The sequence below is a fragment of the Homo sapiens genome, chromosome 11, assembly GCF_000001405.40.
Source record: "Homo sapiens chromosome 11, GRCh38.p14 Primary Assembly".
Classification (NCBI taxonomy): Eukaryota; Metazoa; Chordata; class Mammalia; order Primates; family Hominidae; genus Homo; species Homo sapiens.
In genome coordinates, this window is record NC_000011.10 from 64,053,929 (window position 1) to 64,067,894 (window position 13,966).

The 13,966-nt window shown below is 59.0% G+C and overlaps 2 protein-coding genes across 8 annotated transcripts in view, besides 5 other annotated features; one reads left to right on the forward strand and one right to left on the reverse strand.

The window, feature by feature from the left end:
* The window catches only part of MACROD1 (mono-ADP ribosylhydrolase 1), a 167,556-nt gene that overhangs the window by 55,371 nt on the left and 98,219 nt on the right, over positions 1–13,966 (reverse strand). The gene's annotated exons all lie outside the window — the stretch shown is intronic.
* The window catches only part of FLRT1 (fibronectin leucine rich transmembrane protein 1), an 83,241-nt gene that overhangs the window by 17,998 nt on the left and 51,277 nt on the right, over positions 1–13,966 (forward strand). The window lies entirely within an intron of this gene.
* Positions 245–787: an enhancer, noted in NCBI's record as "H3K4me1 hESC enhancer chr11:63821645-63822187 (GRCh37/hg19 assembly coordinates)". NCBI's record gives its function as "activates a minimal SCP1, AML or CMV promoter by ChIP-STARR-seq in primed H9 embryonic stem cells {active_cell/tissue: H9 hESC(primed)}" and the evidence as "EXISTENCE:reporter gene assay evidence [ECO:0000049][PMID:30033119]".
* Positions 4,962–5,144: a silencer, noted in NCBI's record as "fragment chr11:63826362-63826544 (GRCh37/hg19 assembly coordinates)". NCBI's record gives its function as "represses an EF-1alpha promoter that drives an FKBP-Casp9 reporter gene in an ReSE screen in phorbol 12-myristate 13-acetate-treated (for megakaryocytic differentiation) K562 erythroleukemia cells {active_cell/tissue: K562(+PMA)}" and the evidence as "EXISTENCE:reporter gene assay evidence [ECO:0000049][PMID:32094911]".
* Positions 4,962–5,800: a biological region, named in NCBI's record as "H3K4me1 hESC enhancer GRCh37_chr11:63826482-63827200".
* Positions 5,082–5,800: an enhancer, noted in NCBI's record as "H3K4me1 hESC enhancer chr11:63826482-63827200 (GRCh37/hg19 assembly coordinates)". NCBI's record gives its function as "activates a minimal SCP1, AML or CMV promoter by ChIP-STARR-seq in primed H9 embryonic stem cells {active_cell/tissue: H9 hESC(primed)}" and the evidence as "EXISTENCE:reporter gene assay evidence [ECO:0000049][PMID:30033119]".
* Positions 6,941–7,100: a silencer, noted in NCBI's record as "silent region_3456". NCBI's record gives its function as "represses an Ori minimal core promoter by ATAC-STARR-seq in GM12878 lymphoblastoid cells {active_cell/tissue: GM12878}" and the evidence as "EXISTENCE:reporter gene assay evidence [ECO:0000049][PMID:35858748]".

Sequence of the window (13,966 nt, forward strand, 5' to 3'; positions counted from 1 at the left end):
GGAGTCATCCTTGCATGGCACGGAGCTGTTCCTGCGTTCCAGCACCGTGCTGGGCGCTCTGCACTGTGATCTAGTTGACTCCTTGCTCCCACGTGGTTCAGAAAGCGAGGCCCTGGCCCTGGTGGCAGCAAGCAGCTGTCACCTCCACCTGCGAATGGGGATGAGGATCCCAGCTCCACAGCCCCTGAGTTCTACCAGGCAGGAGCCTGGAGCCCCACGGCTAGCCAGGGTCAGGGCAGGGAAGCGGAAAGGAGGCCCCAACCTCCCTGGGGACGTCTTTAGGTCTTCCAGGTTTGAGAGGACAGACCATAGCCTGCTTCAGGAGACAGTTGGCTCAAGTCATGACAGGAGAGATTTAGGTTAGACAGAGGAAGAACTGCCTGACAACGGGGATTATTAACAAGTTTGCAAAGGAAAGAAGCGGCCACTTCTCCAGGAGACTGAGTGCTTTCGGCAGCCAGCCTGATAGGCTTTGAGCTCTTCTGCAAACACCGCACTATAAATCCAGGGTGTTTCCAGTAAATATCAACAAAGTGGGTGCTGGGTTCGCTGTGCAGTACCCTCGGCAGCCCTCACCCCTTGCATCTTCTCTCTGCTCAGAGGTGCCTGATGGGGTGCAGAGTGGCAGCCAGCCAGCAGGCCCCAGGCTGGTCCATCTACCAGGGCAAGCCACGGTTCCTGGGCCTCCGTTTCCTCATCTTTAAAATGGGTGGAGTACTTGGTGAGGAGAGAGACAACCTCACCTCCTGCTTTTTGAAGAAGACATTCCCCTCTATCTTGCTCCCAAATCAACAAACTTCCTTGTTTCCTGCCTGAACCCCCACCTGGCCAGCCCCTTCCTGCCTTGATGGGTCCTCCTGTGTCACTCATCTTGTCTCCTCAAGTGGCCACCCCTTCCTTGGGTGGTACTTTCCAGCCAGCTTTTAAGGGAATTCTAGCATCTCCCGTGACAAATACCCCCACTACTCTTTCTGTCTTGGTGACCGCCCTCTTTCTCCCCTGCTCTTCACCGCTGAATTTCTCAGGATGGCTCAGGATCTCCTACCAGCCCTTTCCTACCGCCACTACCATCCAGACTCTGCCAGTCTTCTCCTTTCTTTCCCATGCTGACAGCCCTTCCTCCAGGAAGCCTTCCTAGATCCCCCCAGCCTGGTCCAGAAGGTGACCCTCATCACCGCCAACCTGTGTGTCCTGAGAGCAGCCCTGGGCTTTAGTTGTCCCCAGATCCACCATGCCCAGCACAGGGCCTGGCATGGAGCCCAGCCTGCAGGAGGTGCTCCTCTGGGCCGGGAGCAGGGTGAGGGGCAGCCAGTAGCTTTGCCTCGAATTTGCCTTGAGCGGGACACCATGCAGTGGGCGGGAGACAGGAACAAATGCCATCATCACACTCAGAGACACCTCTTTAAATACCAGCTGGAAGCAGCCCGGTTTCTGGGTGGGTGGAGTTGCCCTTCATTCACAAGAAACGATGGGGGATGGGTGCTTTGCACAGGCCAGGACGGGAGCTAGTGGCAGGGCAGGTAGCTCCTGGGGCCCAGGGTCTGCTTGTCCCCATCCTAAGTGGCTCCCCTGCCCCATTAGGGGGCTAAAGAGGAGCGGGGGAACCTTTCACTGGTGTCCTTTCCAGCACGGAGCACAAGGGGACTTTCTCTGTCCCTCCACGAGGCAGCCAGCCCAGCAGAGGCAGGGACATCATCTTTTGCTTCTATTCCCCGGGGCCTGCATGTTAGACCAGGAATAAATAGCCTGGATGGATGGATGGGTGGACAGATGGATGGATGGATGGATGATGGGCCATGGGAGGGAGTGGCAGGGGGATTCCCTGCTCCTCTGCACTGCCTCAGTTTCCCCTTTCATACAGAGGATGCTGGTTTGTGGGATTCAGCCTCTTTCTGGGTACCATTCTTAGCACCAGGCCAGGCCGGTGACTCTTGGGTCTGCTATTGTCCTTCCAGGGCTTTTGGCAGGCAGGGCACAGCAGGTGAGGGACAGATGCCATGCTGCCTGCAGCCGACAGCCGTATCAGCACCCGGGGAGCTCCTGGGAGGGACGCGCTGTCGGTCCTCTGGGCCTCAGGCCTCCTGTCCACAGAATGGGAGCACAGTTTGTCCTCCCTGTGGGCCAGGGTTGGCAGGAGGCTGTATTCAGACAGGAGGAGGAAGGGAGCTTGGAGTCTGCTCCACCCCCGGCAATAAGCAGCCCCGGCAGTTGGGACCCCCGCCCACTTTGCTCCCATCTTTTGGGCTGTGCAGGCAAAAATGCCTGGGTGTCTTTGCCCATTTGGCTTCCCTGGAGGAGCTGCAGCAGGTGGGCCCATGGGAGAGGCTGAGGGAGCTAGGCCTCAGCCTGTCTCCAGGGTCCCTGCTGCAGCCCCTACACGTTTTGCTTCCTGCTCCTCCCGCTACCCCGCCACTCCCCGCCCAGGCTCTGCTTCAGTGCCAGAATGAACAGGCCCCCTCTCCTAGTGGAAATTTACACCCACAGCCCAACCAGGCTGCCTGAGGGGAGGAGGGTGGGGAGGAAGGGGGAGCAGCTGCGGGAACAGGAGGCTGTACTAGAGAGAAGACAGACGGACGGAGAGACGGAGCCTGGGTCTCCATCTGTAGGCAACAGCCGGGGGCCTGGCCCAAACCTCATGCCCCAAAGGCTGCGGCCAGGGTGGCCAGCCCTGAGTCCGGATGGCAGCAGCCAGGGCTGGTTGTGATGGAGAAACATGGCCGACAGGTCACAGGGGACAGGCACCACCCGGGGCTGTGCCCACCAGCAGCACTCATAGGGGACAGCAGAGAACCCGGCAGGGGTGTGAGGCCCATCCTGGGGACCCCTTGGTGTGGGATGGGGTAGTGCGAACCCTGGGCTGAAGGAAGGGTTCTGGCTGGTGCAAGGCCTGTCCCACCCCCTGGGATGACCTCCACTCTGCCTTCTAAACTCATCTACACTCCCTAGACCCAAGGTACCAGGGTCGGAGCTGGTCTGCACCCATCGGGCTGACACTGCCACAGGACAGCCCCTCCTTTGCTCCCAGCTTCCCCACCCAGCCCGGGTACAGCCTTGGCCCTTCCTTTCAGCTTCTGCGCCCGTGTCACCCCCCTAAGCAAGCCTGCCCTGGGCTCCCAGGCTCCAGGCCTCCCTGCAGGCCAGCCTGCGTCGCACCAGCTCTCACGAAACAGGGCTTCCTGTGTGTTCATCGGCTCCCTAAGTGCTTGCTGGACCCGGGTGCCCCTGTGCCACTTTAGGCCACAGCCAGCCCCGTGTTTATAAGGCTGGGAGAAAGGGCAGCCTCTGGGACCAGCTTGGCTGGGGGCTGAACGTAGGGGACGGGACAGCCCATTGGTGGTTCCTCCCTGCAGACTGAGAGCAGGTGGGGTCCCTCTGCTCAGGCCGCAGGGACCCCTCATCCACCCTGTATGTGCACAGCTCTTGCTCGGTGAACAGTTTCACCTACCAAGGCAGATTTAAAACCTCATGGGGAGTGACCCACATGGTGCCAGCTCATGCCAGTTCTGAGGACAGAGAGAGGCCAGACCCAGTCCCTCCCCTCAGGAAGCCCCAGCCAGCCAGGAAGGCTGGCGTGGAGGCAAGCCCAGCTCTCCAGGCCAAACAGCTGCCACGCCCATTTTACAGATGAGAGAGGGGCTGGCATCCTGAGGCCATCTGGCTGGTCACTGCCCGAGCAGGACCTACACCCAAGGGCCTGGACCCCTTGAAGATCAAGGTCAGGAGAGGGGGCTACAGGGTCCCCAGGGTGTCTGCTCCCCCACTCTATCTGTACCCAGACCTGAGGGAGACCTTCCCACAAAGGGGTGCCTGACATGGCCCAGGAGGAGGAAGGGGACAGCCACTTGTTGAGCGCTTACTCTGTACTTGGTGCTGGGCATGTTCGCGGGTCCAGCAGGCAGCAGCACCCCTTTCCACTTTACAGTTGTGGAAACCGAGGCACGAATTCGTGAGGTCACAGGATTTGAACTCATGTGGGTGCAACCCCAAAGCCAGTTTTCTTTCCACTGTGCCACCCCTGGGCTCCCAAGACAACGCTGCCACTGCCACCCCACCTTGTGCTCAGCCTCCTGGGACAGCTGGCCTGCCACCATCTGTGAGCCACTGAGTAATGCGCAATGTAATCTGCGACACTGGGCTGCGCTAGGAACAATTGCGAACCCATTACAGGCCTATTTTCCTAATCCATGACACCTTACTGCAGCCCCCAGCGACTGTGTTTCTGGGATAGACGGTGGAATGCTGTCCACCCACGAAATGACTAATCCTCTCTTTCTGGGGCTGGTAGAGAGGTGGGCATCTGAGCAGGGTAACCTGCTCCTGCCCCGAGGGTGCTCTCGGATGAGCAGTTGGGGACTACTGTCGGCTCTGCTGTGCTCCTTGGTGCCCATCTCAGCCCCCATCCGAAGGCTGACGCTTAGAGGAGGCAGCCCAGGCAGGGCTTAGTCTGGACAGTCACCTGCAGGTGAGGAGGGCTTGGGGGGGGGTCCTCCCCTGTATGCCAGGCCTGACGAGGGGGCACCTGTAGCTGCCACCTGGGTGGGCGAAGAGCAGGTCAGGCCTTTTCCCAGGCAGCTGCCTCATGCCTTTTGGAAGGGGCAGCAGATGCCCAGGCCTGGGAGATGCCACGAGGACACTGAAGAGGGGGTGGTGGAGGAGCCGGCAGCTGCCGGGTGCAGCGGGCACGGCCCTGTAATTGGGCAGCCTGTTCCCAGATAAGGCCCATGACACTGAACAGCTTCCCGCTCCACGCCGGCTGCAACCGCTCATTTCCTGCTCCCTGGCCAGCGATGCCAATTACCTCGCCTCCTGCTTGCCAGCGGCAGCTTCTAGGGTGGCCAGACGATTCCTCTGTCATCGGCCAGGGCCTGGATCCTCTCTGACGGGTGGGAGGGCGTGAAGAGGGCAGCCGGCAAGGGGGGGTAGGACCAGTGATAGGGGAGCTTCCATCTTCACTCTGGCCTGGGCCACACCCAGGCACAGCTGGAGGTGGGGGTGAGTGACACATGGACCCAGGCTACCGTGGGAGGGCTCCATTTCCCCCTCTGCCCCTACCTTCAAAACAGGGGCTCACTGTCTACTGGATGGGCTGAGGAGTGCCTGATGCTCTTTGGATGGAGTGAGGATGGGCACCCAATTTGCACTGGGGGAAACTGAGGCTCACATGGAAATTTGACCAGTGCTGAAAGGACGGAACAGCCCCTGGTCCTTCTCTTCCTCTTCTGTGTTTCCCCCAGAGGACAGACTTGGGGAGCAGTAGGAGGGGCAGCCTGTCTAAAGGGGGCAAAGGCTGGCTCCAGATTCCTCTTGCCGAGCGGGGAAAGGGGAGAAGCAGGTGAGAGGTGCCGCCCTGTGAAGAGGGTCTTGCGGGTCCTGGCTCCACTGAAGGTGGATGCGTGTAGCCACCGACATGGGAGGCGTTGCGGGCTTATCCCAAGAGGCTCGCAGCCCAGCAGGCTGCCCTGCTCCCTGTAGTGGGGGTGGGAAGAGATGTCCCCCCAGGGTTGGAGGCTGGACAGGGAAGCGTGGGCCCACCTGTTCTGAGAGGGCATCCCATGCCCTTCCACAGGCTGACCCTGGGTACCCAGGCCCCCCAGGCCATCCCTGCCTGCAGGGTACTTCCACCCTCATCTGGGGAACAGGCATCTCAGAGGCTGGAAGGTGTGTGTGCCTCCGCAGGGGTCTCGGGGTACCTGGACTCTTGGATGGATGGTGGGCCAGAAAAGTCCAGCCCTGCAGTGGTGCAGATGGGGAAACTGAGGCCTAGGCACAGAGAGGGGCAGGTCACTCAGCTACTCCCAGCTGAGGCAAACGCAGGCCTTCCCCTCTGAGTCCGGGTCTATTCCCTCTCCTGAGTTTCTCAGTTAATCATTTTGGGTCTTCCAAGGGTCCTGACCCCGAGAGGCCCGCCCCTAGGCGCTGATTGGTTGCTACTGATCCAATAGGGTCCAGCCCTTGAAGGCCGAGGAGGCGAGGCGAGGCTGGCAACCGCGACCTCCTGAGCAGCTGGGGCGCTTGGGGGATGTTGGGGGGCCGGGGCACCCTGTGGTACTGAGGGCCGGGAAGGGCGGTGCGGGACGTCCAGGGGCCCCCCTCCCACACGGCAGGGGGGAATGGCGAACAACTCCCTAAGGGGCAACTAACAGACCAATTAAGCTGCCAATAAAAAATTTAATCAAGTAATAATGCACCTTACTTTGTTTAATTAGTGTTCTGTCAAGTGAATGAATATTTAAGGCGCGGACGGCGGTGCCAGCATCTGCCCAGCGGGCAGAGAGGCCAGGCCCACATTTCAAGCGGCCTGACAGCTCCCCACGCGGGCGCCCAGGAGGCCCCAGAGCTCCGGGAGCGGCGGGAGGTCTTCCTCCGCCTGCAGGCCGATCTGGGCCTCAGTTTCCTCATCTGTAAAATCGGGGGCAGGAGTCCAGCAGAACACCAGCCTTTCTGCCAGACCCAGAAGGCCTCGGATTGGTTGTGTTTCCGGATCCCTAGAGTCCCAGGCAGGTGCGGGAGGCATGTGGGACCTGGGGCCCCTGTCGGGGCTGCCCGCGACTCCAGGCCCTCACAGATGCCTGGCGGCTCCGAGGTCGGAGCTGTGTGTGCTGTGAGGGGTACCCAGAGCAGGCCCCAGCCTGGAGATACGCTGGGCAGTGGCCTCCCATGCGCGCACAGCCTGAGGATTAGAACTGGTGAAACTGGGTTCTCCTCCGGACGCCGTGACCTGGGGCAAGGTCTGTCTGCGCTTCTCTTTAGTTCATTCGTTCATTCATTCATTCATTCATTCATCAACTTCGAGGCTGAGCTCTGTGCCGAGCCCACTGTATTTTCACCGGAAAATGCGAGACTTTCATTTCTACCTCTCGAATGCCCAGTCTTTGAGTCCTGCAGCCCCCGGGTCGCCCGGGTCCCGGAGCCGGCGGGTGTGAACGGGGCCAAAGCCCTCCAGGCCGGGCGTGTCAGCCCCGCCCCCGAGGCTCTTTGCATATTCATGACCTTGGCGGGCATGCGCACCGCGGCGGCGGCGGCGGCGGGGCTCCCGGGCCGCCAGGCGACCGGGCGGGCCGGCGTCGACCTTCCCCGACCCAGGCATCCTCAACCGCGGCCTCCTCCTCCCTTGTCTTGATGGAAAGGGCTTGGCGTCCCCCCCACTCCCAACCACCTGAGAGCCTCGCGCTGGAAGGACTTTGGTAATTATTTGTTTCAGTTGAGCTGTTTTCAGTCTAGGCTAGGCTGAGTCTTGTAATGAGTATGGATTTGCCAGTAAATAAGTCCCCCGCTTCTAACCCCTGTAATAAATGCATTTGGAGTAATCTGGCGATCACGCGGTGTAATTGCTGGCTGTCAGGGCAGATGGATGCTCCGCGCGCCGACTTTGCAGCCGTCTGCCCTTCCTTCACGCTGAGCCTCCGCCCCCAGCCCGCAGCCTGGAGGTGAGGGCCCTCTGCTAGGCAAGAGGAATGGGCTTGGCCCGCCCAGACCCCAGGCCGGCCTCCCAGGACCTTGGGGTGCCTCCTGCGCCCAACAGCTTCGTGGGCTTTCCAAGTCCCCTGCCTCTGACCCCGCAGTCCCCAGGCAGCTCCTCCCCGGCTCTGCACTGTGATCACCGGTCTTGTTCACCATTCAGGGTTCTGAGCACCACCCCCCATTTGCTGCATTGGGTTATCTGTGGATGGGGTCCGAATCTGCATGCCTCTCTGGCTCCAAGTTAGGCAGCTAGGGCACTTTTGATATGATACTATCAAGGTCCAATTTTAATTTTTAGAGGAGTAAATGAGACTTTTTTTTTTTTTTTGAGATAGGGTCTCACTCTGTCACCCAAGCTGGAGTGCAATGGCACGATCACAGCTCACTGCAGCCTCAACTTCCTGGGCTCAAGCCATCCTTCAAGCCATCCTCCCACCTCAGCCTCCCAAGTAGCGGGACCACAGGCGTGTGCCACCACGCTGGCTTTTTTTTTTTTTTTTTTTTTTGTAGAGACGGAGTCTTGCTATGTTGCCCAGGCTGGACTCAAATTCCTGGGCCTCTGCCACCACCATGCCACCCCCACCCCCCTGCCCCCTTCTACTTGCTTCTGTTAGTTACTTTCCCAAACAAATCCTGTCCTGAGATTCTGTCCTGTCCAAAGCCTCTGCCTGGCATGCCTTTGCCCCTTCTCTGCCTGGGGGATGTCTGCTTAGCTGTGCTGAAATGCCCCTCTCCTCCGCAAGGCCTTCCTGGATTTCCCCAGACAGGGATTCCTCTGGCTGAGCACCCACAGGGGCCTGGTTCTGCCACACTATGAGGGTTCCACCTCCCCTTTGCTTCTTGGAGTACTCCCTGTGCCTTGCATAGTACTTGGCACACAGTAGGTGCTCAGTAAATGCATCTATCAGTGAGTGAGTGATGAGCCCTGGGTGTCTCCCAGAGGGAGTCCTGCGTCTGTGGCTGGCTCAGACATATGCAGAGGCCCTCCCACACCTGGAGGTCTTATGTCTGCCTAGCCCTCTGCCCACACCCTGGAACCAACTGGGCATAGGCGGAAGGCTCGCCTCACACAGGGCTGCAGGAAGCATCACAGATTTCAGCCAATCTGGCGCAGCCTCCTCCTGCACTCTGGCACCCAAACAGAGGTGACTGTGAGACTCTTGTACAAGCTCGGTCTCTGTTTCCTGAACACCACCATGTACAGGCACTGTCCTGGGCGCTGGGGATGGAGCAGCAAAGGCACGTGGCCCTGCCTCAGTCTCCAGCTCTGCAGCAAGGTTTCTCAGGGAAGCCAGAGTGCTGAAGGCTTCCAGTGTGCCCGTCCTGCCCCGCGCAGCCTGACCCAGGCTGAGGCCCCAGATGCCCACCCCAAAACCAGGCCGGGCAGGTCTGGGGTGCCTGGCTTTATCAGGTGCCTGCCCACACAGCTCACACAGCAGGGGCAGAACTCAGCAGGGGCACCTCCACCCCGGCCCCGCCTCCTAGGCCAGTCCTTCCCAGCCCTGCACTCAGTGTGACCCTTCATTCCCCACAAACACCTGAGCCACCTCCGTGCTCCAGCATGGCCTGGGGCTGGGACAACACAGCTGCAAGGGGACAGGGCTCCCGGCCCATCTTCCGAGCTGTGAGGGATTCAGTGAGATATAACTTGAGCAAAAGCACCATGCCTGGTGACAGTCGTTCTAGTTTAGTCTCCATATGAGTGGAAACTTCAGAGAACAACGCGGGCAGCAGAGAGGCCACCCTATGGTGATCAAAGGCACAGATGCAGGAGCTGGGTGTGTTAAGGCTCTGTGCGCCCTGCTTAGGGTACACAGAGAGGTCGCTTACCCTCTCTGTGCCTCAGTTTCCTCATCTGAACAATGGAGAGCAATATTAGCGCCCTCTTCCTAGGGATAATATTGGCCAAATGAGTTAACAGTTGTAAAACACCTAGAGGATTGCTGGGTGCAGGGAGGTGCCACACACGTGTCAACTGAAAATCCAGCAGAGACCCATGCCAGATGTCAGGGAAGCCCAAGGAGCGATGGAGGGAGAGGAGGAGGACTTCCAGGGGTGGCGAATTGTGCTTTTCTTGAAGGATGAACAGTTCATCAAGGGGTGGGGAAAGGCATCCTGGCAAAGTCCCAGGTGCCCCCCAAAAGTCTCCGTTACTGCCCAGCAGCCAGCAACCTTCAATGCGGCCTCTTCCCCGGCGTCTCTTCCTGGTGAAGCTCACGTAGGAATGAAACCACCTCTGGAGGAGTGGGGTTTGTGTGACGTGGGAGTGTGTGCTGGATGGGCAGAAGCCTGGGGGTGTCAAGGGACACACCTCAGCGGGTGCTGAAACCTACTCCCCCCTCCATGGGCAGCCACGCGGTCCTCGCCCGGCTGTCAGCCAGCAATCATGCCTAATAAAGGCCCCAAATGAGACAGCCGAACAGGAGCACCTTCACTCTAACAATGCAATTAGCACAGACAATGCCTCCCGCTTTCTCCCCAGCCCCAGAGAGGGTGGTGGAGGGGGACCAGCCGGGCCCTCCCCAGTGAGCTGCGGAGAGGTTTGAAAGGAACCAGTGATAGACTAAGAGGTGACAATGAATCGCATCCGAGTGACGGCTCCTCTTGTCAGGCAGCCGCAGGGAGAGAGCGCATCTTCACTGGATCTTTGTAGGTTAGCCAGCTTTGAACAGCGACACCCACACAAACCCGAGGTCTCTCTCTCTGCGCCCCCTATCTCTCCAAGCCCCTCGGTCTCTCCCACTCTCCCTTTCAGCATCTTCTCTCTCTTGTCTTCTGAGGACAGATGCAGGCTGGGTTTACATGAATAAAACATCAGTGTAGGGGAAAAAAATCCCAAACTGCACAGCCTAGGGTTGGGGACAAAAAGCAACCAAGCCACACCGTAGTCTCCACGTGCAGCCCTGTTCAGGCGGCGGGTAGGGGGGTGATGTCTCATCAGAAGAGGGGCCTGCCTGTCCAGGTAGATCCTATGGGGCCACAGGCATTGGATGGAGGATGGAGGAGGCTCAGGGCCAGTGCCGGGACTCCAGCTCCTCTGGGCACTGGGCAGGCAATCTCTGTTTTCTCTTGGCCAAAGAACCGGAGGCCTCAGGCCTGCCCCGGATGGGCACGCAGGCAGGGTGCATATGTACGTATGTGCCTGGCATGGTCCTTGCCTGAGTCCTGCCTGCTGGCTGACACGGAGCTGGCTTTCTTCCCTGGCCCTGTTAAAACCCAGAATGTATCCTGACAGCATTGGAACAGGATGCAGAGTAGGGGCCTCTGGCAGGACATTAAACGGCACCGAGATAGAAGGAGGGGGGCCCTCCCTGAGTTCTCCTCTCCCCTCCCTGCCAGCCCCCCAGCAGGCAGCCAGGCCTGGACCCACCATCCAGCAAAGGCTGACAGAACAGAGGCTGCCAACTAAAACCTGGGCACCCGGTGGCCAAGAGGCTAGAGTTTCACAAGGACCTCATTCATTCATTCATTCATTCATTCATTCATTTGATGAGTGCTTCCAGAGCCCACCTATGACGTGCCAGGCAAGGCGGCAGGCAGGAGGGCCACCATGGTGACTGAGACAGACTCAGGGTCTTTCCCTACACTCCAGAGCACAGGCTAGTTGGAACAAGCCAGAGGCGGGCAATGCTGGTGCTAGGGACATGAGCAGGGGTGAAGAAGCCCAGCAGGGCCCAGCACAGGCACCTGAGCCAGACTCGGCGGCCTCGGAGAGACTTCCCAGAGGAGAACGGGCTACACGTGGGCCTGGAGGTGAGGTAGAAGTGGCCCAGGGAACGGGTGCAGGACAGAGTTTCAGGAAGCAGGCCTGGGGTCAGAGAGGCCCAGAGATGAAGAGCGGGTAGAGTGTTGAGCGATCGGAGCAGTGAGGCGGTGGGTGGGCAGGATCGGGCAGGTGGCGGGCAAGCGTCAGCTGCCTCAACATGCAGGAGGCCAGGCTTTGTTCTGAGGGCGGCTGGGGCCTTGGAGGGTTTTAAGCCAGGTCCTCACAGATTTGCCATGTACGAAGAGTTCACCCACTACCTCCGCTCCAAAACAGAACATTTACTGAGGCTCCAGAGAGCCTGGCAGGGTGTGTGCTTGTCCTGAGCTACAGAGGACTTAAAAGATGAACAAGGGGCCAGGCGCGGTGGCTCATGCCTGTAATCCCAGCACTTTGGGAGGCCAAGGTGGGCGAATCACGAGGTCAGGAGATCAAGACCATCCTGGCTAACACGGTGAAACCCAGTCTCTACTAAAAAATACAAAAAATTAGCCAGGCATGGTGGCGGCCGCCTGTAGTCCCAGCTACTTGGGAGGCTGAGGCAGGAGAACGGTGTGAACCCGGGAGGCGGAGCTTGCAGTGAGCTGAGATGGCGCCACTGCACTCCAGCCTGGGCGACAGAGCACGACTCCGCCTCAAAAAAAAAAAAAAAAAAAAAGATGAACAAGGAGACTCCCCCTCTCTCCATGCACAGGCAGGCAGGTGGGAGATCGCAACAACCATTCACCCCAGTGCAGAGTGGTTGGCAGGGAGAAGAGCACAACTAATCCTGCCTCAGGAAGGCTTTCCAGGGGAGGTGACCTTTGGATGAGTCTTGATAGACAAAAAGAAGCTTGCCAAGTGGCTATAAAGATGAATTTAGGCCGGGTGTGGTGGCTCACGCCTGTAATCCCAACACTTTGTGGGGGCTGAGGTGGGCGGATCACCTGAGGTCAGGAGCTCAAGAGCAGCTTGGCCAACATGGTGAAACCCTGTCTCTACTAAAAATACAAGAATTAGCTGGGCATGGTGGTGGGCACCTGTAATCCCAGCTACTCAGGAGGCTGAGGCAGGAGAATTGCGAGAACCTGGGAGGCGGAGGTTGCAGTGAGCCAAGATTGTACCACTGCACCCCAGCCTCGGTGACAGAGCGAGACTGTCTCAAAAAAAAAAAAAAAAAAAAAAAAAGATGAATTTAGGCCAAGCATGGGTGGCTCACACCTGTAGTCCCAGCACTTTAGGAGGCCGAGGTGGTAGGATCACTAGAAGCCAGGAGTTTCAGACCAGCCTGGGCAACAAAGCAAGAACCCCGCTATCTCTACAAAAAATTTTAAAAAATTAGCGGAGTGTGGTGGCATGCGCCTGTAGTCCCAGCTACTCCAGAGGCTGAGGCAGGAGGATCACTTGAGCCTGGGAGGTCAAGGCTACAGTGCAGTATGATCCTACCTGTGAATAGCCACTGCATTCCAGCCTCCAGCCTGGGCAACAAATCAAGACCATGTCTTCAAAAAGAAAAAAAAAAAAAAAAGAATGTAAATAATCACGCTCCTTCTGAGATGTCTGCCTGCAAGGTGGGAATACGATGAGAGCCCCCAGGCATGAGGCTTCCTTCCTACCTTCCAGGCCCTTCTGAGTACTTAGATCAACTTAATCCTAACAACTATCCTACGAGAACTCCATTAGACAGAGAGGCAACTTGAGGCTCAGACTGTGAAGCAGATGGCCAAGGTCAGGCTGCTGGAAGCTGAAGAGCCAGGATTCAGGCTCAGGCTATAGCTCCGGAGCCCACGCCCCAGCCCAGGTGCTGCCCGCCCCAGTGCGCTACGGAGGGTCACACAGAGCCCAGCTGGCATCCCAAGCCTCTGCCCTCACGCTAGGCAGTCCCTGGGGAGATTGGATGAGGGGCTCAGGGACCCCCCATGCCCAATGTCCTGGCTCATTTGGGTAAACTAAGGCCTGGCAGAATGGAAGCCATTCTCATTACACCACAGGCCAGGGCCAAGTAGGCAGGGCTGGTGGGGGTGGGAGGCCGGCCATACCCACCTGTAGGCACATGCGGCTCCAAGGAGATGGCAGATGGGAGGGGTGGGGAGAGGCCTTGCATGGCACCCACTCCCACCTGTGCGGCACGAGAGGGAGGGAAGGAGCATCATTAACACGACATGGCCTCCTCCCCACTGCTCAGCCTCTCCCGGAGGATGGTGAGGGGGGAATCCATTATCGGGCAAAATAGCAGCTGCTGACGTGAAAATGAAATATAGATTCAATACCTGAGCCTTTCAGCTCACAAATCATGCCCCCGGCCCAGGTGACAGCCAGCACAGACGCCCAGCTCAGATAACAGAAGGGAGGAGATAGGTCGGGGACGGGGACAGACGGCACCTCCCCAACTCCCCAGCCCCTCCCCCTGGGGCTCAGGGACCCAAAGCAGGGACCAGGACCCAGGCTTGTCTCCCTCCTGTCCCTAGGTGGGTGACGCACCAACATGCCCGTGGCCTCCGGTGCACACACAGGGTCCCCAAGCAGGCAGCTGGAGGGCTGGGGTGCCTGGAGCTGCCCTGCCTGCAGTGATTGCGGACACGCCCCTCGCGAGGCACCGCAGGCTGCCACCCCCAGCTTGTGAACTGGGGGTGGCCCCAGAGCTGTTTGTTTTCCCTGACTGAGGGGCGGCTGTGCCACCCCCACACTCCTGAAATGGGTGATGAGGGGGTTGGGGGAGGAGCTGAGCGGCCCACTTCCTGCTGCTGTCCATTTAGCCAGCGG